General features: G+C 38.4%; 1 long non-coding RNA gene across 2 annotated transcripts in view, besides 4 other annotated features; it reads left to right on the forward strand.

Annotated features, from left to right (window-relative positions):
- The window catches only part of LOC105374971 (uncharacterized), a 241,097-nt gene that overhangs the window by 73,472 nt on the left and 139,813 nt on the right, over positions 1 to 27,812 (forward strand). The gene's annotated exons all lie outside the window — the stretch shown is intronic.
- Positions 18,925 to 20,124: an enhancer, noted in NCBI's record as "MED14-independent group 3 enhancer chr6:22441843-22443042 (GRCh37/hg19 assembly coordinates)". NCBI's record gives its function as "activates an origin of replication core promoter dependent on BRD2, BRD4, P300/CBP and CDK7 cofactors, and independent of MED14, by STARR-seq in HCT116 cells {active_cell/tissue: HCT116}" and the evidence as "EXISTENCE:reporter gene assay evidence [ECO:0000049][PMID:35650434]".
- Positions 18,925 to 20,408: a biological region, named in NCBI's record as "MED14-independent group 3 enhancer GRCh37_chr6:22441843-22443042".
- Positions 19,908 to 20,408: an enhancer, noted in NCBI's record as "H3K27ac hESC enhancer chr6:22442826-22443326 (GRCh37/hg19 assembly coordinates)". NCBI's record gives its function as "activates a minimal SCP1, AML or CMV promoter by ChIP-STARR-seq in naive H9 embryonic stem cells {active_cell/tissue: H9 hESC(naive)}" and the evidence as "EXISTENCE:reporter gene assay evidence [ECO:0000049][PMID:30033119]".
- Positions 20,409 to 20,909: an enhancer, noted in NCBI's record as "H3K27ac hESC enhancer chr6:22443327-22443827 (GRCh37/hg19 assembly coordinates)". NCBI's record gives its function as "activates a minimal SCP1, AML or CMV promoter by ChIP-STARR-seq in naive H9 embryonic stem cells {active_cell/tissue: H9 hESC(naive)}" and the evidence as "EXISTENCE:reporter gene assay evidence [ECO:0000049][PMID:30033119]".

Raw genomic sequence — 27,812 nt, forward strand, 5'->3', positions numbered from 1 at the left:
TTAGAACTTACTTGTATCTTAATATTGCTGTTATATCTTTAGGACTTATATTATTATTCATGCATTATATTTTCTTAACTATCAGAACTCTCAAAGTAGAGATGATCATATTGACACATCCCTCCTGGTTTAGCCCAGTGCTTTCACATAGATGTTTGCTCAGTAAGTGTCCACTGCCTTAATGGCTAAATGAAAGGGACTTCTACTTGCTGAATTTTAATTTACTGCTTGCTCTTCCCCTTAAAAAAGATGTATTGTAATAAAGGTAAAACAGAGCAAAGACCTACATCATATGTGAATAACTAGCTTCTCTGGCTGATTGAAATTAGCTTTTGGCACAATGATATATCTAATAATAAGTGAGACTGATTTTTCTATTCATAGCTATGAAACATTTTATTCTTTCCCCTGGTCAAAATGTTTTACTTTTATGATATTTCTTTATTTCAAAGCATTAAATGTACAATGACTTATTATGTGGTTTCCTGGCCTTTTTCTTACATGATACTGTTTCTTTTTTAGACCTGACTTGCAATATGGATTTATTTTGGCAGTCACATCGTGTATTAGTGATGAAGATGATTGTAGGACTTCGTATTTTTTCATACCCCATCGTTATTGCTAATTACTGACTACAAATTATTTGAAAGGATTTTTCATACACTATCTCCCGATTCATCCTTTGGACCACTTTCTACTGTATATGAGGCTGGTAACATCAAACTCATTTTATTAAGATCATCAGGTTTCACTCAAGCATGAATATATTTTAAAAGTGTTATTCCACATTGAGCTTTTGCTTACTTTCATTTTTAATGGAAAAAGCTTAAGGCCCTTTGGGTCAAACACATTTACAATCAATAGCACAAAAAATCATTAAAAAATAAAACAATCCATTATTGATGAAGCTGGATGATGGCATCATCCCATGTTAACATTTATAAGTTCCAACAGTTAATAATAAATCTATAGTGTGGGGAACATAAAATATTTAAAACATGAATAATTGATTTGCTAGAGCATCATTCATTAAGGTTAGAAGTAATTCACCAATATGGAAATGAGCAGATAGAAGCAATATTTTAATTTATTATTGAGAAATTACCATTTGGCTAAAGAATAGGAATGATCCAGAGAGAATAATAGAAAAGTTATTAATCTCAACTAATTTATTCAAAAGAAATATGTAGATTACAAACAAATGTTTTCTTTGCAGGCTGAAGCTTCATTTCTGTTATTAACCACACTTCCGGAGTCTTTTGGGGTGACATATTGCTGTATGGATTAAAATTAGCATAATAGAAATCTACAGTACAAGTAGTAGGTGAGAATGTCTTTATAATCCCCCAAATCACAGTGCAATGATATTTCTTCTTGTAAACTTTTGGGAGTAGCATAAGCTGCCCAAAATTGGCTTTCTATTTTTGGGAAACTACGAACTTTATTTCTAGGAGGGAAGACTATATTTCCCACTACAAAGAAGCCAAAAATGTGTGCAAATGGGAGGAATAGATACATCCTTTTCTTGGCTCTTGACATAGACACAGCTCCTGCCCAGGACTCTGAAGTTAGAAGAAATGATACGAGGTGCAGTGTTAGAGACTTTTTCTGGTGCTGTGTTAAGTTGGGAACCAGGTGGTAGAGCCTTTAGAAGCCAGACTCAACCTCTTTTCTGCAGCAGCCTCCGGGCTAGGTTGGACTCTCCTGTATTCTTTCTCAACCCTAATTTTTTTAACCCTTGCCAAAAATTCTTACCACAATTTCTGACTCAATGACCTACAATTTCTGACTCAATGACTCTCCTCCTACTTTATTTTGATGCTTTGTGACAATATACATAATTCTCCTAAAATATTTTTATTTTACTCATAAAAATATGTACTAAATATTAAAAATAATTTGATATATTGAGAATATAAATATCCATATACTCATTAACCTTCCTTTCTCTTACTCTTTTTCCTTGTAGTATTGATGCATTTGATGTCTCAGTACTACGTTTTCTTCATCTATAAAGTAGAGAATAAGAATTGTCCCTATTTTATAAGATGGCTTTGAGGATTAAATGAGATAATGGGAAAAGGGCTTAGTTATGTGCCATGCTTCATAGTAGACACTTAAGGAATGTTGGCCATTATTTGTATCAATACATACAGTTGGTATCAATTAGATTCCTGCTGAGGTCACTGGGCTAGACCAAATGACCCTTTGTGGCTTCCTTCATTGATTTTGTAAAAGGCTATTTATTTCTCTGTGGCAGCAATAGATTTGGATTCCTGTACAGGATGAGGATGTGGTTCTCAAATTAGCACTACACTTTCAATACATAATAAGATGTCATTAGAAATGTAGTAAATACAGATCACAGGGTAATTTTAGAAATACCCAATCAACGTTCTAGGGCAGAGTTTAGGAAATTTTATGGTTGAGTTTATAATTATATTTCAGTGGATTTGAAATAAACAACCTCTTTGTGACTGGTTTGGGTGGCTTGGCCAAGGTTTCACTTTTTCTGAGGTAGGAGATTGAGTCTGGGAAATGATTGAAGATTCTCTCTGCCTTCCTGAAGTCATGGAGCCATAGGTTCACAGAAGACCAACATTCCCACAGTATTGGGAAGAAAGTTAGATTGTTTCTTTACAGCAGTCACTGTTGAACTCTTTCCTGAGTGCACTCAATATTATTAATAATATCTGCATTATGCTGTTAGTAAAGATGAACATACCAATTAGGCTTATGTAGAAATTAGTATTTTTTGCCTAAAGTACTTTGCATGTTTCAATTAACTCTGTATATCCATGACTAGTAGGAGGGAGTGTTAACTGTTTCTAAGTGGAAGAAATGAGGCATACAAATATTAAGTGATTTCTCCATGTGAGATAATTTTAGAGTAAAGCTGGGAATGAAATATTGGTTTCCTGAAACGAAGCTTAAAGTGTGAGTACATAGTTGTTCTTTGATGAAAAGTGGTCATTTTTCGGTTTAACTTTCGATGGAAACATCTTTTTTTAAAGCTTTGATTTCTGAAGAGCTAATTTTAACTGATGGAATGGTATCATTCTTTTAACTTGAAAACAAGGTCTTTTAACCAAAACCACTTACTTTCATCATCCGTATTCTTCCCTTCCCACCAGGCTTTCTTCCTTCATTCTTATTTTTATTCACTTACGTGTCCCACAGTTTTTGCATGTCCATATATCTACTGTGTGTCATGCACTCTGTTAGTTTCTGGGAATGTCAAGATAAGGAAGGCATCATTATCACCTAAAAATGTCTCAGTTCAATGCAGAGGATGGACAAGTGAATAGATGATTATAATTTAACAATCAATTATTTTATGCCCACCCCATTAACTGCTAAATTATAATCATCTACAAGCTCCAAGAGAGCAGAGACCATCTGGTTTCTAGCTCAATGCCTGGCATACAATAAATACTTAATAAATATTTGTAGAATGGATGAAGTAGAGAAACAAGAGGAGGGACAGCACATCGGAATGGATGGCTAATTTTGTAGTGCCAACTTCCACAAAATTTACCAGAAGATCCCACTGCATGTTGTATTCTGTAATTCTCACAACACATTTCATCCTAATAGGTGGAAATATTTAGTACTTTGTTTCCTCATTGGAAATATGATTTTTATATGCTAGCAAGAGATGTGGGTAAGAAAAAAAGAGTAGTCTCAAGCTCAAGAATACGTGTTTTGTTTTTCAGGTTTATGGTAATGTTGCTATTTATGTCAATCCTAGTTCATAGTATCTCATAGGTGATGTTATTGGAAGTATTTTATTGGAAGTATTTGTTCTTGTCGCTACTGACTTCAGCTAGTACCATGCATATCACTGTTATCCATTATGTTGGCTAGTCTACATCCCTGCAGGTGAAGGATGCTTTTCAGTGATGGATGCTCTAAATCTCTGTCCAGTCTAATATTACAACTCAGCAGATTATGCCCTTTTGCAATCTGACATCTCCCAATGCCAGCAAATTCTTCCTGATATTTAGATGATTGATTTTTCTCCTCCTACTTTATTTTGATGCTTTGTGACAATACACATAAATCTCCTAAAATATTTTTATTTTACTCTTATAAAATATGTACTAAATATTAAAAATAATTTGATATATTGAGAATATAAATATCCATATACTGATTAACCTTCCTTTCTCTTACTCTTTTTCCTTGTAGTATTGATGCAAGTTAAATAGAATTTTTTTCTTAACGTCACAATTAGATGGGTCATTTAAGCTGTTAGGGGATTGGCATAAATAGCAAAAATCACCTTATATCCTAACTCAAAAAAATAACCTTAGTTGTTTTCTTTGTCCGTTACATACTTTTCTTGCCAAACTTAAACCGGAAAACAGATATTCTAGATTTTTTGCTCACTGGATATATGAAATATATAATCCTTTGAATTGGTTTTAACTCATTTGATTATTTCAGTCATTTTCATCTATTCTTCATTCTCCCATATATGCATTTACTCATTCATTCACTCAACAAATATTTACTGATCACTGATAAGACACAAAGCAAACAGGATGTGCTGAGAATAGAACAGAGAAAGACTAATTGCAGGGGGAAAAATCATGAAGATGCAGCTACCAAAGGAAGCATTCATTTTACTTATCAATGTTACTTTTTAAACAATTTGTGCATATTTTCGTTTTACTTACATGTGGATTATCTCACATTTTTGTTTACGGATATTTAGCATGAGTAATCAATAATTGAGTTTTCTTTGTTATTCCTTCCTTTAAAAGATGCCTTATCATGTTTGCTGATGTGCCAAATGTGAATCAAAGTTTTGAGCTCTTTTTTATCCTCGAAGAGGAATATTATTCTAACTTTAACATAACAGCAACTCCATTCTCCCCACTCACAAAATTTGCACATTTCTTTTCACTCCCTTATGTTCTTCATGCCTCAAATTTCAACTTTTCCTTGAGATCTAATGCCTTACTCTAGGAACTGGATTTCTGCTTATGTTAAGATAAGCTAGGATGTGCTTCAGTTAAAAATTAAATCTAGGCCGGGTGCGGTAGCTCACACCTGTGATCTCAGCACTTTGGGAGGCCGAGGCGGGCGGATCATGAGGTCAGGAGTTAGAGACCAGCCTGGCCAAGATGGTGAAACCCCGTCTCTACTAAAAATACAAAAATTAGCTGGGTGTGGTGGCACACACCTGTAATCCCAGCTACTCGGGAGCCTGAGGCAGGAGAATCGCTTGAACTCAGGAGGTGGAGGTTGCAGTGAGCCGAGATCATGCCACTGCACTCTAGCCTAGGTGACAGAGTGAGACTGCATCTCAAAAAAAAAAAAAAAAAAAAAAAAAAAATCTGAAATGTCGGTGGCTTATCACAAGGTTTTATTCTTGCTCACATCACATGCCCAATAGAGTCAACTTGAGGGATGAAGGAAAGCTCTGTTTCACGATCATTCAGAGACCCAGAGTAACATTGCTGCCACTGAGTCAGGGGAAAAGAAATTGGAGAATCACATAATCTTTTTACTGCCCCAACTCAGAAATAATCACATGTTCCAGGACTATGAGTCTATTTCTTTCCTGATACATTTTATATGCTCACTTCCTAGTCTGTATATCCAGTTTTTGCCTTTTTCATGATCTGTAGTCATCCATGAATATTTTTACTTGTATATCCTTTGGTTTCCTTGAACTCCATATTTGGCTTCACAATGTTTCTTTCTCAAGCATCTCTTTTCCTGAATTTCTAATTTGTTAGTCAATTCTCCTAGTCAACCAACTCAAAAACTTGGAGTTGCTTTAAATCCATCTCTCTCTAGCTCTCTCTGCCATTCCTCACATCCTCAAGTTCTAGTGGTGGCTGCCTTGGCATGGTCTCTTTTTTGTCTTCACTCTCCATTCCCATTGCTGTGGTCTAGTCTGGTCTTCTCCACTGTTTCCTGATGCTTAAGCTACTGAAATAGCCTCCTTAAGGCAGCCAGTGAAATCTATGTATAACTACCAGAGTAATCCTTTTTAGCTTTTTGCTTATTCACAAAACTCTCCATCTCTTTATTGATATTGAAACCTAATTTTCTCTGCCCTTCTTTCATGGCTTTTCCTAAATTGTTTAATACCCTAATTGGGATGTATTTCTGAACATGTATCTTCTATTTTCATCAAGCTGGTCAGTTTTCTATTTTACAAAGACACTTGTCTCTTCTTACTTTGGACTTCCTCCTCTCACTTCCAGCTGCTCAAAGCCAAAGCCCTCCCTTTAGGTCTAGCCTAAGCGTATCTTTTCTCAGAGTCTTCCCTGCCTGCTATTCAGTTCATGGATACTTTCCTGCTGTCAGCTACTCAAGTCCTAGTTTAGCACAAGGTTAGCATCAAATCACCGGTTATCTTGAATTCCTTCATTCATTCCTTTGGTATTAATTGACTATGTGTGAGAAAACATGTACATTGCTGTATATGTAGTGGTAAATGAAACAAAGATGTTTCAGCTCTCACAGAGATTACTATGTAATTGGGCAGGCAGGCATTAAAGCAATGATCATATAACATAAATACATAATTGTAAATGACGATTATGGCCATCAGGGAGGGTTGCTCGGTGCTCTCAGAGAGAATAACTAGAAGACCTAATTTGGAAAAGCAGAAGAGTATAGTGCTAAGTGCGAAGACCCTGAGAGAAGGTGTGTGAGTTCAAATCGTAGCCTCCCCACTGGTTAGTTGTGAGATCCTGAGTAAGTTGTTTAACCTTTCTGGGCCACAGTTTCCTTAGCTACATCATGGAGGTGATAATTGTACCCACCTGTGCAGACTGTGTGTGTTAGCTCGCAAAATTCCATTTATTTCTGACTCCATCTCTCTTACTTGTTTTCCCCATGGCTAGAACTAAAGCACAATACTCAATATTGAGCCTTCCTTGCGGCTGGGGCTTTGAGGTCATGTAGGACAGTCTGGTCCTGGATGAAAATACCAGGGGATGTCTAAGAAAGCCTTTGCTTCCCTGATATGAAATAGTGATAAAGACGTACTGGTTCTCTATGAAGTTCAATGTGTGATGGCTAAGGTCATGCCCTGTGGCTTGTCACTCTCCAGTTGAGTCTTACAGAAAAATCCATGAGCTGAGGTCCCTTAAGTACACTTTTCATTATCACAGTGTGGAAATGCCTAACCATGAGAGATAGTGGGCTGAATCTGAGCTCTGTGTGCCTACAGAGTCCTCTCTGTCTACCTCCCCATCAATGCCTCCCTGCATGCACTGTGCCAAGAGATGATACAGTGTTTTATCCTCAGGCTGAGCTGCGGATCCCGTGAGCCCACGCAGAGCTCTGATGGAAGTGCTAATGCTTGAGCATCCGCTTTCTGACATTTTCTTGATAGGCCCATACGGAAAATTGGAAAAAACACTAAAACAGTTTAAATACACAATAATGACTAGTGTCTTCAGGAGAAAACAAGAGAAATCTTTTGTAGTCATCCATGTAGCATTTTGTAGCATTCCCACTGTTGGCATGATCCTAGCTGTGTACTTTCAACTCAAATGTGCCACTGGGCCATGGTATAAATTGCAGAAATTAAAGATGCTTCTGCCCTAGGCAAAATGGTTTCAGGCCTTTGCATGCCCTTTCTGGCACCTCTTATCTCCTCTCTTCCACCCTTCAGCTCACAGGGACTTCTGGCTGTCCAAATAGCCCCATTGTCACCAGCCTAGGCCTGTCCTATTCAGCAGTGCCCAGTGCCCTCAAATTGACTTTGTTCACAAGGTTCACCCAAACAGGCCTTCGGTTCCTCTCAAAACTTTATCCTTGGCTAGAGTTAATAGGTTAAACAAAATCGTTCTCAGGTATTGATGAGATTATAGCTAAAAGCATTGCAGATCCAAATAATTTATTTGTGGGTTAATAAGAACTCCCATAAAACATCTGAAGGAATCAGATTGGATACAAATAACATTTGTTGAATACCTATTATGAGCTAGCACCTCTTATCATGCTTGTATATTATTATGTGCAATGAGGCTTTTGTATACGTCCATGTAATCTTCTCAACCAAATGATATGGGTATTGTTATCACTGAAGTACAAATGAAGAAGTAGTAAAGTTATACAGCTTTCATATAGCCAAGTGGTTTTGACTCCCAGTTCAGTGATATTTCTGTGTTGAAGGTGAAGTACGGTCTAATGGTTAAGTGAGGAATCTGGAGCCATCAACCCAATTTTGATACTGGCTTTGCTGCTAATTAACTGTGTGGCCTGGGACAAGTTATTTAATATCTTTGTGTCCTGTTTTCCTCAAATGTAAAGTGAAGATAATAATCATTTGTAGCCCATAGGATAATTATGTGAGGATTTAATAAGGTGTTCTCTGTAAAGGGATTAGAGTAGTATCTGGCACCTAGTAAATGATCATCAATGTGTTAATTATTACTCTGGGCAACGGGCTTAGTGACTGGGCATTTTTGGATCTCTAAAACAATATAACATGTAAAACTATCTACCAGGTAATGCCTATATGTAGATCTTTAAGAGATATGAGAACATGTTGCTAAAGGACTTTGTAGAATATTCTTCCAGGTACACTCATTATTCTCAGTATATGTGGGATGTTTTAGTTAAGCTATTCAGTGTAGGCTGGGAGAGAGAAGTATCACTTTTAAATAACCTTTCAGCCATGAGTCTGTGACTTCAGCTAGTCAATTAGCTTGTTTTCCACAAGTGTTTCAGGACCTTCCAAAAAAATTTATGTGTCCTTTCCTGAGGTAACCATCTTGGCCTATTACACGTTTACATCCATGAAAAGTTTTTGAACCCATCCTATATTGCTAAATTACAGTTGCATTGATCTTACATACATCACTTTTATGGCACAGACATCTAACTTAGGGTATAAATATCTCGTCCTGCTAATGTGCTTTGTGTGCAGTGTTAGAGAAGAACTTAACTGGGGGCTGGGAAGGCCTGTGGCATATTTCCTAGCATGCAGTGGTGTCCACCGTATTTGTTGCTGATGTGCTCTCGGATGATACCAAAACTAACATTATCAGAGTAAGTCAACCTCCCTTACTTTAGCCTAAAGGTATCCTCTCATCACTTAAATGTGTATCTGCAGACACATGAGGTCGTGAAGACATTGTTGCAGCCAAGCGGCATCACAGAGAAGACCCCTATGATCTGTGCTTCAGAAATCCTACATCTATCAGCAAATTTGAGTTCAATTCAATCCAACAAACATCTATCAAAGAACTTTGCCCTGGAGGTTCTAGTTCTAAAAACAAAGTGGTATAAATAATGATAGCATAACTTATTCATTGTTCTAATTAGAAGTAATACAAAGAGCAATGATATAGGTTTGAAAGGGAACATGGGGAGTTGTCTTACCCAACTGCAAAATGCTAGCTAGCTCCAAAGCTAAGCAGTCCAATCAGGCAATATAGCAATCTCCTATTTAAGTAAAAATGAGAATGAGAGTACCTTACATACATTGTCTCATTTAAGATCTGGACAATACAGGAAGGTGGTATTATTTTCATGCCTTTTTAGAAGAGTAAATGGATACTCAGAAGGTTACGTCACTGGCAAAAGGTCACAGAGCTAATAAACCAGTGAGCCAAGATTGAAGTTCTCAGACTGACTATGCAACACAAATTCTTAAACCCTCTATGCTGTTTATCTTTTATATGACTTCAGCTTTTGCTTTGTACTGCGGAAGACACTACTTTTTTCAATGTCTCTTTTTGCCACTTCTTTTCATCCCATAACAATCAGGAGAAGTATAATAGTTGTTACTACTCTTATTTTAAATTGAGTAGACTGAAGCTTAGAGACATTCAGTAATTTGCCTAAATCAGAAAGTTAGTTAAGACAAGAGCTTAAGTTGTAATCAATCTAATCCTAACTCTAAACATATATATAAAATGTATATTTTTATATATAAAAACATTAATTTTAATATATTTTCTATATTATATATTTATATTTTTATAAAACATGTTTAGAAATATATTTTATAAAATATTTATATTTTTATATAAAAATTTTATATTTTATAAGCATATATACTTTAGGTATATATTTTTTAATACAAAATATATTTTTAGTGAAAAGAATGTCATTATTACATTTATAAAATAATCCAAGTTTGTGTTTGTTGTCTCTATTTACTTTTTGTGGGTCCTGATCCAAATTTTATGAGGTGGTCCTTCATCTCCAGCTAATCAGGACTCTCACTGAGAAATCTAATCCAATAATTAATTTATTCCATGGTGTTATAATTAATATCAGGAGTCAGGCTTTACGAAAGGAATGTATACCTGCTGGTAAAATTCCAGGCACTCAAAGTTATTTTGGACTGGAGACTCTTCTTGGTCCACCTCAAAAAAGTGTAGAAATACCCTGCCCAATTATCAGTCTGTACCACCGTAATTTACTCCCATGACTTGACACTCCATTTGCAGACTCAGCCCACCCCAATCTCTAATACCTCAAGTCTGGCTGCTTCTATGGCTCTGATCTGGTGCCGAGTTCTTACCACTGGGTGTCTACCTGCCCCTCAGAAACAGGCACCCCCCAAAACCACACAACATGCATTTGCCTAAATGGTCTTTCTGTCCTGCAAACTATGTAATTCCTCTCGTCTGGACCTTGAACCTTCCTACCTTGGAAAGTTCTACCCTATTAACAATGAACAAAGTGCTGACAAGAAGCTGAACCTTGCTGTCTGGTGCATTCATTCCCTATGCTGTGTGACAAATTATTAGAATCTTATCAGCTTAAAACAATACACATTTCTTAGGGGACAGTGCCTGTAGGTTGGAAGTCTAGGCACAGCTTCGTTAGGTTCTCAGCCTCAGAGTCTTCCTAGGCTTTAATCTAGGTATTGACCTGCACTGTGTTCTCCTCAGAGACTCAACAGGGAAAGACCTGCTTCCAAGCTCTCTAAAATTATTGGCAGAATTCATCTGCTTGTACTGCAGGAATGAGGTCACAGTTTTCTTACTGGCTGTTGGCTGGAGCAACTCTCAGTTCCTAGAGGGATCTCTAGCTTTTTGTCATGCAACCTTCTGCATAGGCCCCCTCTCAACATGGCAGCTCACATCTTCAAAGCCAGCAAGGAAGAATATTTTGCTTCGACCTATTTAGACAGAGTCCTATGTACTGTAACCTAATCACGGGAATGCCATCCCATCACCTTTGCCATATTGTGTCAGTTAGAAGCAAGGCACAGGTTCTGTCTGGATTCAAGGGGAGAGGGCTATACAAGGGCATGACTCATTGGGTGTCATCTCAGGGTGTGACTGACACACCTAGTAACGGCTTTCTTCAATACCTAAGACTATTCATGTGAACTGCTCGGAACTGTTACTTTGAGATCTCAATTTTCCCTCTTTGTAATCTGCCCATTTGACGGCTGAGTTGGAATAAGCACGGGCCAGATAGGCAACAGGATGAGGCAATGATCTCTACTGGGAGCTAAGCATCACTGAATTAATTATAAATATGAAGAAGGTAAACTTTAATTTTTACATGTGATTTCTTATATAACAATTGAAATGTAATGAGAACCCCCATCGAAATAGATTACCAAACTTTAATGAAAATTTTTGAAAGCTTTTCATCTATTCAGACCTAGCCAAATAAAATTTCAATGCACAAGTAAGAGTGACAAGTGGTTAATTCCCCTGCCCTGAGTAACAGCCTCTTAACTGGCACTTGATATCAAGCGAAATTCTGAAACCAAATAATGCTTGACTTACTGCAATTTGTCATTAATAACTAATTTCTTTGAGTATGTTTTAAGCCATTTTATTGACCCTTCAAATATTCGTCTATTGTACGAAATTGTTGTTTTAGGCTTATTCCTAATAAAATGTTATTTTACGTTAGGTGCATGTCGTGATTTTCTTATTTTGAAGATTAAATATTTTTGTTAACAGACAATAAGTTTTCCCCGGTCCCCTAAATAAATATTTAAATATTTACAAAGATTTAAATATGTTGCTTTCAGGGGCATCAAACTCTCACTCTGACTAGGATGTTTGTAAGTTTCCATAGTGCCATGCCTGTTAGGAACTACTTTTCTTACTTACTCATTTTTTTCTTTGAACTTCTACAAACTTTAATCTGATGCTGTGCCATAAACTAAATTTATTTTTATTATTTTATTTTACTTTATTTTAGATTCAGAGGGTACACATCCAGGTTTGTTACATGGGTTTATTGCATAATGGTGGGGATTGGGCCTCTAGTGTACCCATCACCCAAATAGTTATTCAGTTTTTTTTTTTTTTTTTTTTTTTTTTGAGATGGAGTCTCGCTCTGTTGCCAGGCTGGAGTGCAATGGCGCGATCTCGGCTCACTGGAACTTCCGCCTCCCAGCTTCAAGCAATTCTCCTGCCTCAGCCTCCCGGGTAGCTGGGATTACAGGCATGCACCACCACACCTGGCTAATTTCTTTATATTTTTAGTAGAGACGGGTTTCACCATGTTGGCCAGGCTGGGTCTCAAACTCCTGACCTCAAGTGATCCATCCATGTTGGCCTCCCAAAGTGCTGGGATTATAGGCGTGAGCCGTCACGCCTGGCTGAGTTATTCAGTTTCTTATTACCAATTGCTTGCTTAAGTTGCCACATGTTGGTTATTGTACCTCTTTGGTCCCTATAGTATTTACTACTCTGTTTGTCTTAACTTGCCTCACCTAGTTGCAGGTTTAGCTCATGAGACTTTGCCCATGCTCTTGTTCTGAGTCGTGATTGGAGAGCATATCTTGACTGACATTTTATAGTGCCTTACCATTTATAAGCACTTTACCATGCTTCCTCTCTTTTGCTCTCCACAATGACTCTGGGAGACAGTGTATTTTCAAACCTTGCCTATGATGGACTTCATTTAGATGGGAAGACGGAAATAATATGCTTTGTAATTAACTCTTGTGTCTTTTTATGGAGCAGCAGTGAGCCCTAGAACTGGCCACTCTGTGATTTAACTTTTCTGATATTAAACTGACCTAAATTCCAGGAGATCGAGACCATCCTGGCTAACACAGTGAAACCCCGTCTCTACTAAAAATAGAAAAAATTAGCCGGGTGTGGTGGCGGGCGCCTGTAGTCCCAGCTACTCAGGCAGGAGAATGGCGTGAACCCGGGAGGCGGAGCTTGCAGTGAGCCGAGATGCGCCACTGCACTCCAGCCTGGGCGACAGAGCAAGACTCCGTCTAAAAAAAAAAATAAAAATAAATAAAAAAATAAACTGACCTAAATCCTTGGTAATATCAGTACGTCCAAACTTGTCACAGGTTGAGGGATATAGACTCAAATAAACCATATCTTGACCCCATCTAATCACACTGAAACTCATCTCTGCTCATCTTAGCAAGATTGGTGAGTAATGGTTTTTAAAATTTTTATTTTCACATGACATTAACGATAAGATAATTTAAAAAATTATTTTGGGTGAATAAAAATGTGCATAGATAACAAGTTTAGAATCTTTTACATTCTACCAAAGTAGTAAATTGGAGATTAGAAATGGAGCTAAAACTGATAAAGGATGGAGTTAGACGTAGAATGGGAAAAATATAGATCAGCTGAAGCAAGTTATTAGGAAAGAGGAGGCTAAGCAAATTCAACTTGCCCAGACCTGTCAGGCTGTCAGAAGTACTTTTTCCTGCTAGATATGATATAATGTGATTCATACAGAATGTATGAATTAGTGTTTTCAAACCTGCACATGCTCTGCTTTCATTCTCTCTCTCTCTGTCTCTCGTACACACACACACATATACACACACACACAGAGTCATTTACATATTAAGATTTTGTGTAATTCAAAAACACATTACTATCAGAATGAAACTACAAATTCACTAAAACCTCAGATTCTATTAATTAAATCTTTCAACAATTTTCATTGTCAAATATATGATTTTTTCTATGTTTTATGTTCTGTGGTAGATGCTGTTGGGTATAGAAAGGTGAATAAGAAACTATTCTAGCTCTCATCTATACAAATATATTTCCTTTATTTATATACTTATTCTATAAGCTTTTTTCTATTAATTTTTTTATTTTTATTTTTTAACTTTTTGGTTAAAAATGAAGACACACACACATGAACCTAGGCCTACAGAGGGTCAGGATCATCAATATCACTGTCTTTGACCTTCACATCTTGTCCCACTGGGAGGTCTTCAGGGGCAATAACATGCGTGGAGCTGTCATCTCCTGTGATAACAATGCCTTCTTCTGGAATCCCTACCTCCTGGAGGACCTGCCTGAGGCTATTTTACAGTTAACTTAAAAAATACATATATATTTTATAAAATATTTATATATAAATAAATATTTTATATATATATATATTTTTTTTTTGAGATGGAGTCTCGCTCTGTCGCCCAGGCTGGAGTGCAGTGGTGCAATCTTGGCTCACTGCAAGCTCCACCTCTCAGGTTCATGCCATTCTCCTGCCTCATTCTCCCAAGTAGCTGGAATTACAGGTGCCCGCCAACATGCCCGGCTAATTTTTTTGTATTTTTTTTAGTAGAGATGGGGTTTTACCGTGTTAGCCAGGATGGTCTCGATCTCCTGACCTCATGATCCACCCACCTTGGCCTCCCAAAGTACTGGGATTACAGGCGTGAGCCACCACACTGGACATTTTTTTTTTTTTTTTTTTTTTTTTTGAGACAGAGTCTTGCTCCGTCACCCAGGCTGAAGTACAGTGGCGTGATCTTGGCTCATTGCAACCTCTGCCTCCTGGGTTCAAGCAATTTTCCTGCCTTAGCCTCCCAAGTATCTGGAATTACAGGCACCCACCACCATGCCCAGCTAATTTTTTAATTTTTAGTAGAGATGGGGTTTCACTATTTTGGCCAGGCTGGTCTTGAACTCCTGACCTTGTGATCTGCCTGCCTCAGCCTCCCAAAGTGCTGGGATTACAGGAGTGAGCCACCGCACCCAGTCTATATATTTATAAAAATATATTTTTTAATATCTATCTATCTATATAGAAAGAATACATTCTAAAATAACACTAAGTAGAGTAGTACATACATAAACAAGCAGCATGGCCATTTATTATCATTATCAAGTATTATTTACTGTACATAATTGTATGTGCTAGACTTTTATAAGACTGGTAACACAGTAGGTTTGTTTAGCCAGCCTCACTAAAAACACATGAGTAATGCGTTATACTACTGCATTACAAGGACTATGACATCACTAGGCAATAGGAATTTTCCAGCTTCATTAAAATCTTGTGGGAGCATCATTGTATATGCTGTTTATGGTTAACCAAAACATCATTTTATGCTGTGTGACTGTGTCTCTATAGATTTACAGTTAACCATTCATTCTCTTTTCAATTCCATGCATTCCCATGGCAATCTTGTCAATGCTGCCTGCATCCACTGCTACCTGAATGCCGATGACTGCAAATCAATATCTCCATTTCAGGCTTGTTTCCTTACCTCTTTGCACTCTTAAATATTTTTGGCTCCTTCCTATTAATTGCTAGCAGAATATCCCACAGAAAAATCCATGCATTTAAGCCATAATTATGATCTTTCTCTTTAGACTTACTCTTGTTCTTTTTTACGTACATACCAAAAACCTGTATATAACTAGAAACTTCTACATTTTTGCCAATGCCTAATCTCTTATATCCATCTAGCTATTATAGATGTTCCTCATTTGTAATCTCTCAATCTATCACCCCTTTTCCAATACCAGCACTGCTGCTGTATTTCAGGTCTTTGTCATCTCTCTTTTGTGGACTATTTTAAGTGTTTTCTCATTGATCTTTTCTCCATTCAAGACTATTTTCCATATTGTTGTGGTATGTTTGTATCTTTTAAAGAAAACCATATAATTTTACCCCCATGCTTCAAATTTACTGATTATACAATAAATCAATATCATCTATGCATGCCATCTTAGGTCTTCTATGAATTGACCTTTCTCTACTCGGCCGACTTACTGTCCATTTTCAGCTGCCTTCCAGCTACACTTCCACCATAGGTCCCTGGGTGCACTTGCTCCTTCAGGCTGTCATGCTGTTGTATTTATTCCCTTTGCCTCCAAGGCTTTCTCCTAATGCCCTCTTCTGTGATCTGTCTGGTGACTCTCTACTGACTTTAGGAATCTGCATGAAGCCTCATCCCTTCTGTGAAAAACTCACAGCTATTTTCTCCCAATTCTTCTTCCCAAGGGACATGATAATTTATTTTGTCTGCTACTATCATATTTGTTTCACCTTGTTAGCCTTTAACACAACTGTTTATTTACATAAATAGACATCTATTTTGTTTGTTTGTTTGTTTTGAGATGGAGTTTCACTCTTGATGTCCAGGCTGGAGTGCAGTGGTGCCATCTTGGCTCATTGCAACCTCCACCTCCTGGATTCAAGCGATTCTCCTGCCTCAGCCTCCCAAGCAACTGGGATTACAGGCATGTGCCACCATACCCAGCTAATTTTGTATTTTTAGTAGAGACAGGGTTTCACTATGTTGGTCAGGCTGGTCTCAAACTCCTGAGCTCAAGTGATCCCTCCTTGGCCTCCAATGCTGGGATTACAGGCTGTTTTTTGATTTAATAAACCAAGTATCAGTAATTTCTACCTTCAGGGCCTATTACAAATCTGTGTGATTCAGAGTTGTTTAATAAAGCAGGGGAGAGCAGTGAAAACATTTTATCAAAATACTATAGTATTTTATAGAAAATTAAATGAAAGACAATATTTTGAAAATAGGATAGATTCCAATGGAATTTGCCAGTAGAAAGTAATACCAGTAAGATTTTTGCTGAGATACGAGTGTTCATTGTGGAAGTTGCATAAACATTATATATACCTTTCTTTTTCTGTTTTTTTTTCCCATCTCCTTCCCTTGCTCCTTCCCTGATTTCCTCCTTCTCTCCCTTCCTTTAGGTTTTCCCTTCATTTTTTTCTTTTCTTCATTCATTTTCCATGCTCTCATTGAATTATTATGTCAGTACTTTCCCAAATATTAAGCACTGTGCTTTCTTCATCATTACATATTTATTGGATAATTCTAAAAACCCATTAAAGAAAGTCCATTTTGACATTTTTTTCCTTATTGAATTATACATAGCCATATGCAAACTTATTCTAAACAAAAAGCAGTGAGTCCAGTGAGTGAATAAGATAGTTAGTGTGTCAACATTGCAGCCTAAATGAATTGAAGTCAAGGACGCAGCCATCTTTATGCCTCAGCTCACTTTTGTTTCTCTGTGGACTCTGCTTCTGAAGTCTGGTCTTAAAATTTTATCGTGATGTTTCTGCGTCCATCATGAAGAGGCCTTTCCTTTCCTGTTTGACTGTTTTGTCTTGAGAATTATAGCATCTAATCCAGTGTCATAAACTCAGATATTCTGAGAATTTTAAGCGGTGGCCGGGGAGTGATGACTGAATAACTCCACTGGGTTGAATACAGTCAGTGTGTGAGATGTACACAGCCCTGCGTATAAGGCATTCATCTGGGGCTGTGATGTTATGGAACCATATTATTCTGTGTAGTGATGACAGGCGGGTGCTAAAGTTTCCTTCCTGAAGCAATTTCCGATTCCATTATAAATTTAACCAGAAAACCCAAATCTTACATGCATTCTTTCAGGATAAGTAAAAGAAGCCTTTTTTCAGTTTGCAACCAGAATAAAATATGTCCTGGCAGACAAGGTGGCAGAAAGTGAGTCCTGTGCTATGCAGAAGGTATCATAACACTAGCAAGTAGGTGGTGAGGAGTGGATGCATGCAATTCTAAATTTTCTTCAGAAAATGTCAAATACTTGCACAGAGCCTCAGTGAGGCATTTGACTTTGCATCAGCTGACTCCAAATCAGGCATGTAATGTACACCTTTCCTTCCATCCTCTTCTGTAATTGAAAATGCTAGAGAAAAGAGGCTTATCCTGTGGGAGGAACCACATTTGTTTGATAAATCTCTGACATTGATTTTCTCTGCTTCTTACTATTAAAAACATGAAACGTGGTTGTTTCTGTGTTTCAAAACATTCACGTATTAAACACTGAACTTAAAAACATTAAAACATGTATTTCAGTTTAGTTCCTTCATTTAAACATTGATTACCTAAAACTTCACTATGAAGAACTTTCTTGGTCTCATGAGCCTTGTACATGCTCTATTATCCATAATACTCTCACATATTGCCAATCATCATTCCCTCCCATTTATTGCTTTTTATCTAGTCCTTTATTCATTTGACATATGTCAGAGCTATTATATGTCAGCAACTATACTGCATCCAAAGAAAGATGAAACAGAACCAGAAAGAGTCTCTACCCTCATGGGGTAGACAGTCTAGTGAGAGCAGTCAGCAGTCAAATATTCCATGAACAAATATAAAACTGTGACTGCTATGGGAAGAAGTACATGATACAGAGAGAAATATACAAGGAGAGTATACTGTCAGGAAGATCAAGATGGTATCTCCAAATAAGTGAATCTGGAACTGAAGATATTCAAGGAAGGTAAGCATTAACTAGATGAGGAGGGAAAACTATTTTAGACAGAAGGAACAGCATTTATTTGATTTTAAATACAGATGCTCCTCAATTTACCATGGGGTTATGTCCTGATAAGCCCACCCTAAAGTCATTGTAAGTCAGTAACTATCTTACTTGTTTCTGATGTAGTGTGGAGCAACATCAGTGTGCAAGTTAATCCCACATTTGAATCTTACCTTCAGCAGACTGGCTGAGTGGTCTTGGGAAAGTTTTTGCCCAGAGGTAAAACATACCTTTATGGCTTCTTTTTCTTCTTCTTCTTCTTTCTTTCTTTTTTTTTTTTTTTTGAGACGGAGTCTAGCTTTGTTGCCCAGGCTGGAGTGCAGTGGCGTGATCTCGGTTCACTGCAATCTCCACCTTCCAGGTTCAAGTGATTCTCCTGTATCAGCCTCCCGAGTAGCTGGGAGCGCCCGCCAGTAAGCCCAGCTAATTTTTTGATTTTTAGTAGAGACGGGGTTTCACCATGTTGGTCAGGCTGGTCTCAAACTTCTGAGCTCAAGTGATCCCCCTGCCTTAGCCTCCTAAAGTGCTGGGATTACGGGTGTGAGCCACTGCAACTGGCTTCATCTTTGTATTTTTTTAGAGACAAGGTTTTGCTAGATTACCCAGGCTGTTGTGAACTCCTGTCCTCATGTGATCCTTCTGCCTCAGCCTCCCAAATTGCTAGAATTACAGGCATGAGCCATTCCACCTGGCCTGTGGCCTGTTTTAAGAACAATAAAGTGAGCTGAAATCACTAGTTGTGTTTTATTTATTTTCTTTTCCACTTTCTTCAGATCAATTGTACTAAATACAAACCTCTTCCCTTAGCTATTAAGAAAAAAGGGACTCAGAAATCAGGAAATATGCCATCCTACTGTAGGCTATAGAGGAAATGTTTTGGGGAAAAGAAAACTTCTTGATTTTTCAATATCTGCTTTGTTCTATTAATTTACTGTCCACTTTTTCTTTTCTGTGTTACTGATGGGGTTCAGGACATACTACTCCAAAATACAGCAACTTGGAACTTGAAAAAAAGCAGAAGCAGGAAGGTCTCCATTGTCTTCCCCTTGGCCTTCTCCCCTGAAGCAGGTCACAAGGCCCTCATTGCAGAGGTGCCCTCCCTATACCTGGAGGAAAGGAACACACGTATCTCTGAAGATTCAGGGACACAGAGAAGAATCTGTGTCTTCTTTGAGGAAGACATTCATAGATTCTGTCTTCTGTGATTGAAGGCAGAATCCGTGTCTGTCTTCTTCAAACAGGCCTTGCTAGGTACCCCCAGTTATTACCAATAGACCCCCATATTTGTCCAGTCATGCTTTTCCATGACTGTCCACTTTATCAAACCTAGCATAAAAATACATAGATTTTCCTGCTTTTTTTTTTTTTTTGGCTGGCAGGGTGAGGGCTACTTTCCTTTTGAAGGCCCCTGTGTCACATAAAACTTATATTAAATAAATTTGTATGTTCTTCTCTTGCTAACCTGTCTTTTGTTATAGCTGCCTCAGCTGTGAGCCTACAAATAGGTGAGGAAAGAAATCTTTTTCCTCCCACAAGTGCTTTAGAATATTGAACCCAATTTCCTCTCAAAAATCTGATATACCTTGGTTATTTTTGATTGTCATTATTTTTATTGTCATTTAAGAATATAAGATTGGGGTAGATTAGTTGTATTAATGACTCCAATTCTTCACCCCTCCCTGTGGCCATGCTTTGGGCTATGTGACTTGGCAGTTCTCACTACAAGGGTGGAGGCTATTTCCCTATCCTTGAATCTGAGCTGGGCTTGCAACTTGCTTTGGCTAATGAGACTTACTTAGCAGACACAGCACAAGCAGAGCTGGAAAACACCCTGTGTATTTCTGCTGGCCTCTTGCTCCTCTGAAATTGTCAGGAGAACATGCCCAGGCTAGCCTGCTGGAAGGCAAGCCACGTGGGGGAAAGTCAGATCATCTCAGTTGTCCTGACTGATGCCATCCTCATTACCAGCAGAGGGGTGAACTACAGACATGCTAGTGAACCCAGCTAAGACCAGAACTGTCTGGCCAACCCTGTCTGAGCCCACCAAAATCGCTGACCTGGAGGCTTGTCAGCAAAGTGCTTATTGTTTTAAACCATTGAGTTTTGGGGTGATTTGTTATGCAGCATTGTTGTGGCAATAGAAAACTGATACAAGGCTAAGTTCTAATTTTTTTTGTTTGTTTTTTGTTTTTTGGGTTTTTTTCTTTGGGACAGGATCTTGCTCTGTTGCCTGGGCTGGAGTGTGGTTGTGTGATCTCAACTCACTACAACCTCCACTTCCCAGGCTTAAGCGATTCTCCCACCTCCCAGTTAGGTGGGCGTGGTGGCATGTGCTTGTAGTCCCAGCTACTAGTAGCACACACCACCACGCCTAGCTAATTTTTGTATTTTTTGTAGAGATGGGGTCTTGCCATGTTGCTCAGGTGGGTCTCAAACTCCTGGGCTCAAGTGATCTTCCCACCTTGGCCTCCCAAAGTGCTGGGATTACAGGCGTAAGCCACCATGCCTGGCCTAAATTCTTCTTTGTAGCTTTGTGATTTCTTCATAATTTTCTTCAGTTATACGTATTTGTATGTCTAATGGAAGCCAATGGGAAAATTGTAAAACACCGGGATGCAGTGGCTTCCAGCACTTTGGGAGGCCCAAGAGGGCAGATTACAAGGTCAGAAGTTTGAGGCCAGTCTGGCCAATATGGTGAAACCCCGTCTCTACTAAAAATACAAAAATTAGCCAGGTGTGGTGGTGGGCATCTGTAGTCCCAGCTACTTGGGAGGTTGAGACAGGAGAGTCGCTTGAACCTGGGAGGCGGAGGTTGCAGTGAGCCAAGATTGCACCACTGCACTCCAGCCTGAGCAACATGGTGAGACTCCATCTCAAAAAAAAAAAAAAATTGTAAAACAGATGTTTGGATATTAGTAACTTTTCAAGAGACTTTATATTCCATGAAATGTGATATACCTAGTGTTGAACACTGGACGTTTCAGGGGAAAAAACTTCCGCTTTTCCCCATAAATATGAGAAAATACATAGTTTGTTCCAATGATTTCTTTTGTTTACCTGTGAAGAAATTGAGATGACCACATGACTATGTTCTAGAAATGAAAATGCCATATGGGGAGAGCACAACCATTTGCTTTTTAATGACAGGTGCATAAAACTATGCTGGTTCGAAACATTATTGCATATAAACCCATGTTACTTTTGTTAGTTATAAAGAAGGTTTCTCATAGTCCTACTCTTTTAGAAAGGTATCTGCCTTCTTAAGCATGGAAACATGACTGCAGTGCCAAGTTTGACAGCTGATTCTGTATAACCACTTAATTCCACATCCTTGGAAGGAAGTGACTCTAAAAACAAACAAATGGACACGCTCTGAGTTATACAAGTAAGCGTGGCATACATAACCAGCAAAATCACCATTGTTTGAGTATTACTTACATCTTTAACTAGTTTATATTAAAGACAGTTGTGAGTTTATTAAGAGAACATTAGGTTTAATTGGGATTTTTTTTTCTAGCTACTCACATGGCCTTCTCTCTGCCATGAGTCCTAGAAGATGGGAAAACTGCCTAAGCAGTAAAGCCCTCCAGCTCTCAGGGAAAAGGTAGCAGAAGGAGAATATAGGGGAAGGAGGCCATGGGATATGTGAGAGTTCCTGGCTGACTTTGAGGGTTGCTTTATTTTAACACAGCCCATGCTATGTAGGTCATGGCAATTGAATATATAAAGGTGGCCTGCTTCTCCGAGGAGTGATTCCCTTTATCCCGCACACCATCTCTGTGGGATATACATCAATTTACAGTGTCTTTAGTAGTTAGTCAAAGATTCATCTTCATCTTTCGGTAATGTTGAAGCGATTGTTTCATAGACTATGCCTATGAGAGAACAGCATACAACATTTAAGATGATTCCTTCAAAGAAATTTTACTGGCTTGAGAAAAGTTTTATTATATCCATGAACAAGGCCAATTAATGGTATTATCATGATTATATTGCATTTGCATTTATTTATTTGTCCTATGAGAAAGATCAGAGACATGTATACCAGAGTGGTTTTCTCTGTGTGGCAGGTTTATCACTGTTTCATTAATCTTTTGTGTAACGTTTTGAATTTTCCAATTTGGGAAAGTAAATATATAAGAATATATTATTAGAAAAATCAAAATATTAATTAAAATATTCTGGTTTAAGGTACACTTTGAGGACAAGGAATGTGTCTTATTTATTTCTAAATTCCTAACACTTCAGTACTCGGTGCTTGGGAGGTGGTAGGGGAAAAAATGTCAAAAAACCACATTTGATGAATGAGTGACTGAAGTCGGATTCAGCAGGTTGAATAGGGCCTCAGTTGATGAGACAGAACACCAGTGTTATCTTAAGGTGCAGTTATTAAAAAGCAGGAAATATTTTTTAATAGTTACTGTCATTCTTATTCTAAAATAAATAGCTACCTAGGAAACACTTTCATCAGACAGTTGATAACCATTGGATTGTCTCTTGCTCTTTTTAAAAAATTTGTATGACAAGCATAATTATTTCTGAATCCAGCATTTTCCTGTCATACTCTAATAAGTATACAATATAAGAGGGACTGTGAATAACCCAAAGAGAACCAAGGAAGCATTTATTCCTATTTTGATGAAAATTTCATTCCTTTCCTACAAGAAGTGTTCCTTGATTACTGCAATGACTTTTCTACTTAACTGTCTTCACTACCTATTGTCATTCAGCCAAACAATATGCCAAAATCATACTTTGTTTTCCATCTGTTCACTTTGGTGTGGTTCCCCCAGGCAGGAGTCATGGCATAGAACTTTATTTTTCTATCATAAAGTGGAAGCTCGTCTGTGGACTAACATGCATGCAGTGGCTTTGCTATGCATAGAGCATTCATGTGAGCGTTTTGCATGTGTTGGCTCATACCATTCTCTCAACAGCCACAGGAAGCATGTGATTCTTCTTCCTGTTTTCCAGATGAGAAAGCTGGACAGAGAGGTTAAGGATCTTGCCAAGGTCACATAGCTCATAAAGAGTAGAGCTACCTGGGTGAGGTGGCACAGCTACTTGGGAGGCTGAGGTGGGAGGACTGCTTGAGCCCAAGAGGTTGAGGCTGCAGTGAACTGTGATCATGCCACTGCACTCCAGCCTGGCTGACAGAGCAAGATCCTGTCTCAAATATATATGTGTTATATATACATATATATAAAACATACATAACATATATAACCTTGCCTGATGATATATATAGATATATATATCTATATATAGTAGATATATATCTATATATATATAGTAGAGCTTTGCCTCAAAGTCCCTTCTCTTAATCACAAGTTTATATAGCCTCTTTAATATTAGAAAGTGCTTAGCAATGTGTGCCAGTTGCTTAGAAAGAAGGCCCAGGTAACTCTGTGATTCCAAAATCATCTTAGACTATAAATGGAGAAAAGTCATAGTATTTCTGATATGTTTGATAGGAAACTTTGAAAGATTAGTTTTAGTTTAAATGAGAAATAACAAGCAAATGACAAGTTAGTTATTGTTTGAATTACTCAGGGGAATATGAGAAGCTGTACCTTTGGGATGAGTGTGTTTATGAGTATACATTACACCACCTGCTTGTGCTAGTGGGAGGAGTAAACATTTCTGCCCGCTTTTCTTAATTCTACATTTTGTTTTGGTTTTTATTTTGCAATTCTAGCAGATTTTAATGGATTAAATTAAAAAGCAACAGAAACAGTAAAGACGACCCTTATCTGTTTAAATCAGAAGGTAAGTTAGTGGGATATGAAGGCTTTAAAACAATACATGGAGTACAGAGAGTCTTGCCCAGCCTCTGCAGTTCCTGAGAACAGAGCAGTCAGTCTTTTAGGAAGTAGGCCCCCGTGGAGTTGAAAAATACTCTGAGGACCAGAATGTGACCTGGGAGGGTGGGCTTCAGTTCTTTCTTTCAGTTTTGTCCAACTCATATGTGCTCTCTGGGCCTAATCATTCTCCCTCTCTCAGCCTGAGTTGTCTTATCTGTCATTTGGGGAATTAATAGCAGGCTTTTCCTTGGAAAGCATTTTGAGCCCTTTCCCTGAAAGGTTTTAATGTCCCTGTTGTTATTAATATGACCGTATCACCGTTACAGGCCAGCCCTGACTTGGAATGGAAAAAGTGAGCCGACCTTGTCTGATGTGATTGTCGCCCTATGAGCCAGTCAGCTTGCTTTTATATGTGACCCTGATGGCCTCCTGCTACTCGACGGAGCTCAGCCTTTTGACAGCTGGCCCAGCTGGCCTAGTTCAGAGCAAAAGTGGGCCCTGCGGACACAACACGTTGAGGGCTTTTTGAATGATCCAGCTGGGGTGGGTCTAGGTTCTTTTTGTGCCAAATGGAAAATGAAGTCTGCGTCCATCCTAGGGAAGCACAGTGTGGGAGAGCATTGCACTCTGTTCTTCCCTTTTCCCTGAAATTCATATTTAGTCTGAGCTGCTGCGTTTATATCCTTTCTTACCTACCACTAACCACGAACATTTCCAAAGCCCGTGTACTTTGCCTGTTGGCTTTGAACCTTTCAGCTATGATGGAAACTTTATATTTTTATGTCTGCTTGGCTGAAACTGACTCCTCTGAGAGAGAAGACAGTAATTGCCTTTTGGGTGATTTCACCTCCACTAACTCTTTTCACATTCTTGGAGGGTTTTTGATAGAACCTGAAGAAACAAAGCCTGCATCCTGGGCTGCTTCAACATAAGAAGAACAGACTTCAATGGCAACAGCCTGTTTATAATCTCTTGGGCCCATTTCTGTTTTCATTGTCCTGTAGATTGAAGTGGATGTAGTGCAGAAAACAATAGCAGGATAATACTGTAATCCTCTTGGTTCTCACACGTGTTGCTCACTAGCATGCATTCCCGGGTGCATGTAAGAATCTTCCATCCTTATACCCACGGGTAAACAAAGGATCCCACGGGCTGTTGCCTATCCCTAGGGAATTAAAAACAAATGTATATACTATAATATTCCTGAAGATTAAGTTATTTGAAAGGCATTTTATTTTATAATCATGCAAATACATCTGTTCTTGTTTTTCAGGCTGGTAACCAGATCTCAAAGGGCCAGTAAATAATCCCTCTTTTCCTTTCTTCCTGGCTACTCTACCGGCTCTCCCATACCCTTTGCTCTTTGATGCATAAGATGAGATGGGCGGGTAATCAGGCACTGAAAATCCACAGTTGGCGGGGGTCATTTTTCATTTATTATTTCTTCTGGTGCCTTGACTTTGCCTGACTTTCCATGGTTAAGGAAAGGGGAGGGGAAGAGGTTGATGAGAAGGTCAGTCTATTGTGTTGCTTCTCAGTCTCGCGTATCTGCGCTTCCTAAGTCTGTTTACACTCTGAATCACTTGACATGCTGCACATTCTTCTATAAAATCTGGCTTTGAGCAGCAGTCTTCAAGCACTGGGGAGGCCCACTGAGTAAGATCTGAACAGCTGAAAGAACTGGGGGACACTTTTTTAAATGACCCGAAGCCTAGGAGAAGATAGCTTCCTCAATTAGTGGTAATCACTTGGAATGAATGATTCTGTAGTTTTTCTTTGACATAGACTAAGATATATAGTATGCATAATATTTGGAAGTGTTGTTTCTTTATAGTAATAAAGTTCACATAGGGTAAGTCCATTTCTGGTTTACTGAAAGGAAATGGCCATTATAAATGCTAAGCACTGCCTTTATTTGAATAAATATTACAAATGGTAGAATTAAATATTATAATAGACCTCTGGAGATGATCTGATTTATTGTTGGAACGCCAGTAAAATTACATTGAAGGGGTTTGAAAAGAAAGGGCCTTTATTTAAGACCACCTTAACATATTTTTCGTGTATATATATACTACAACTAAAGACTATTAGTAATTCATAAAACGTACCTACCTATTTGCAGATTTGAAAATTAGGATTAGTACTTGGTTCATGTTTTAGAACATAATCAAGTGCTATTGTAAGTTGATTTTAGGTATCAGGATTTGATGGATGTTAAGCAAACTTGTGATTAAAATGCGTTGTTGAGCAGTGAGCTGAGATCATGCCACTGCACTCCAGCCTGGGCGACAGAACGTGACTGTGTCTCAAAAACATGCATTGTTGATTTTTAAAATTATTAATAATGATGAGTAGACAGAAATTTCTAGGCAAAATGTCTTTTACAAGGAAGAAAATCATTGTGTTTCTAAAACAAATTTCTTTTAATCATTTAGGAGGTCATACATATCTGTATTACCTCATTATAAAATAATCCATAATTTGACTATTTTAAAAAATCCTTAACCCAGTCTAATCTGTCCAGAGTCATTACAGTCTGAGTACAAAAGAGTGACTTTTTACAAAACCTGGATCTTTTAGCTCTTTTTTTTTCTTTTTTTTTTGAGACAGAGTTTCGCTCTTGTTGCCCAGGCTGGAGTGCAATGGCGCCATCTCAGCTCACCACAACCTCTGTCTCCCAGGATCAAGTGATTCTCCTGCCTCAGCCTCCCGAGTAGCTGGGATTACAGGCATGTGCCACCATGCCCGGCCAATTTTGTATTTTTAGAAAAGATGGGGTTTCTCCCTGTTGGTCAGACTGGTCTCGAGCTCCCGACCTCAGGTGACCCACCTGCCTTAGCCTCCTAAAGTGCTGGGATTACAGGCGTGAGCCACTGCGCTGGCCTCTTTTAGCTTACTCTTGATTCTGGCTCTAATTGACATTTTTCTGGGTGAGTCCACCAAAGGTTTATCCTCCAAATCTGTTTCCCTTCTGAACTGGAGTTATATAAAGCCAAATGATGTTTGTGAAGCAGACTATGGGTTTTGTTTCTGATGACCATTTCAACGATCATGGACACAGGTCTTTACTAAAATCTTTTTTTCTTTCTTTCTTTCTTTCTTTTCTTTTTTTTTTTTTTTAACAGGGTCTCACTGTGTCACCCAGGCTGGAATGCAGTGATGTGATCTCTACCTCCCAGGCTCAGATGATCCTCCCACCTCAGCCTCCTGAATAGCTAGGATCATCTGAGCCTGGGAGGCAGAGGTTGCAGTGAGCTGAGACCACAGGGACCATAGGTACCACAGGCGTGCAGCACCACACCTGGCTAACTTTTCTGTATTTTTTTTTATAGAGACAGGGTTTTTCCACCTTGCTCTGGCTGGTCTCAAACTCCTGGACTCATGCGATCCACCCACTTCAGCCTTCCAAAGTGCTGGGATTACAGGCGTGAGCCACTGCACCTGGCCTAAATTTTCATTTGTGTGTTTTGTTTATACAGCT

This window comes from Homo sapiens, chromosome 6 (assembly GCF_000001405.40).
Source record: "Homo sapiens chromosome 6, GRCh38.p14 Primary Assembly".
NCBI classification, from domain to species: Eukaryota; Metazoa; Chordata; class Mammalia; order Primates; family Hominidae; genus Homo; species Homo sapiens.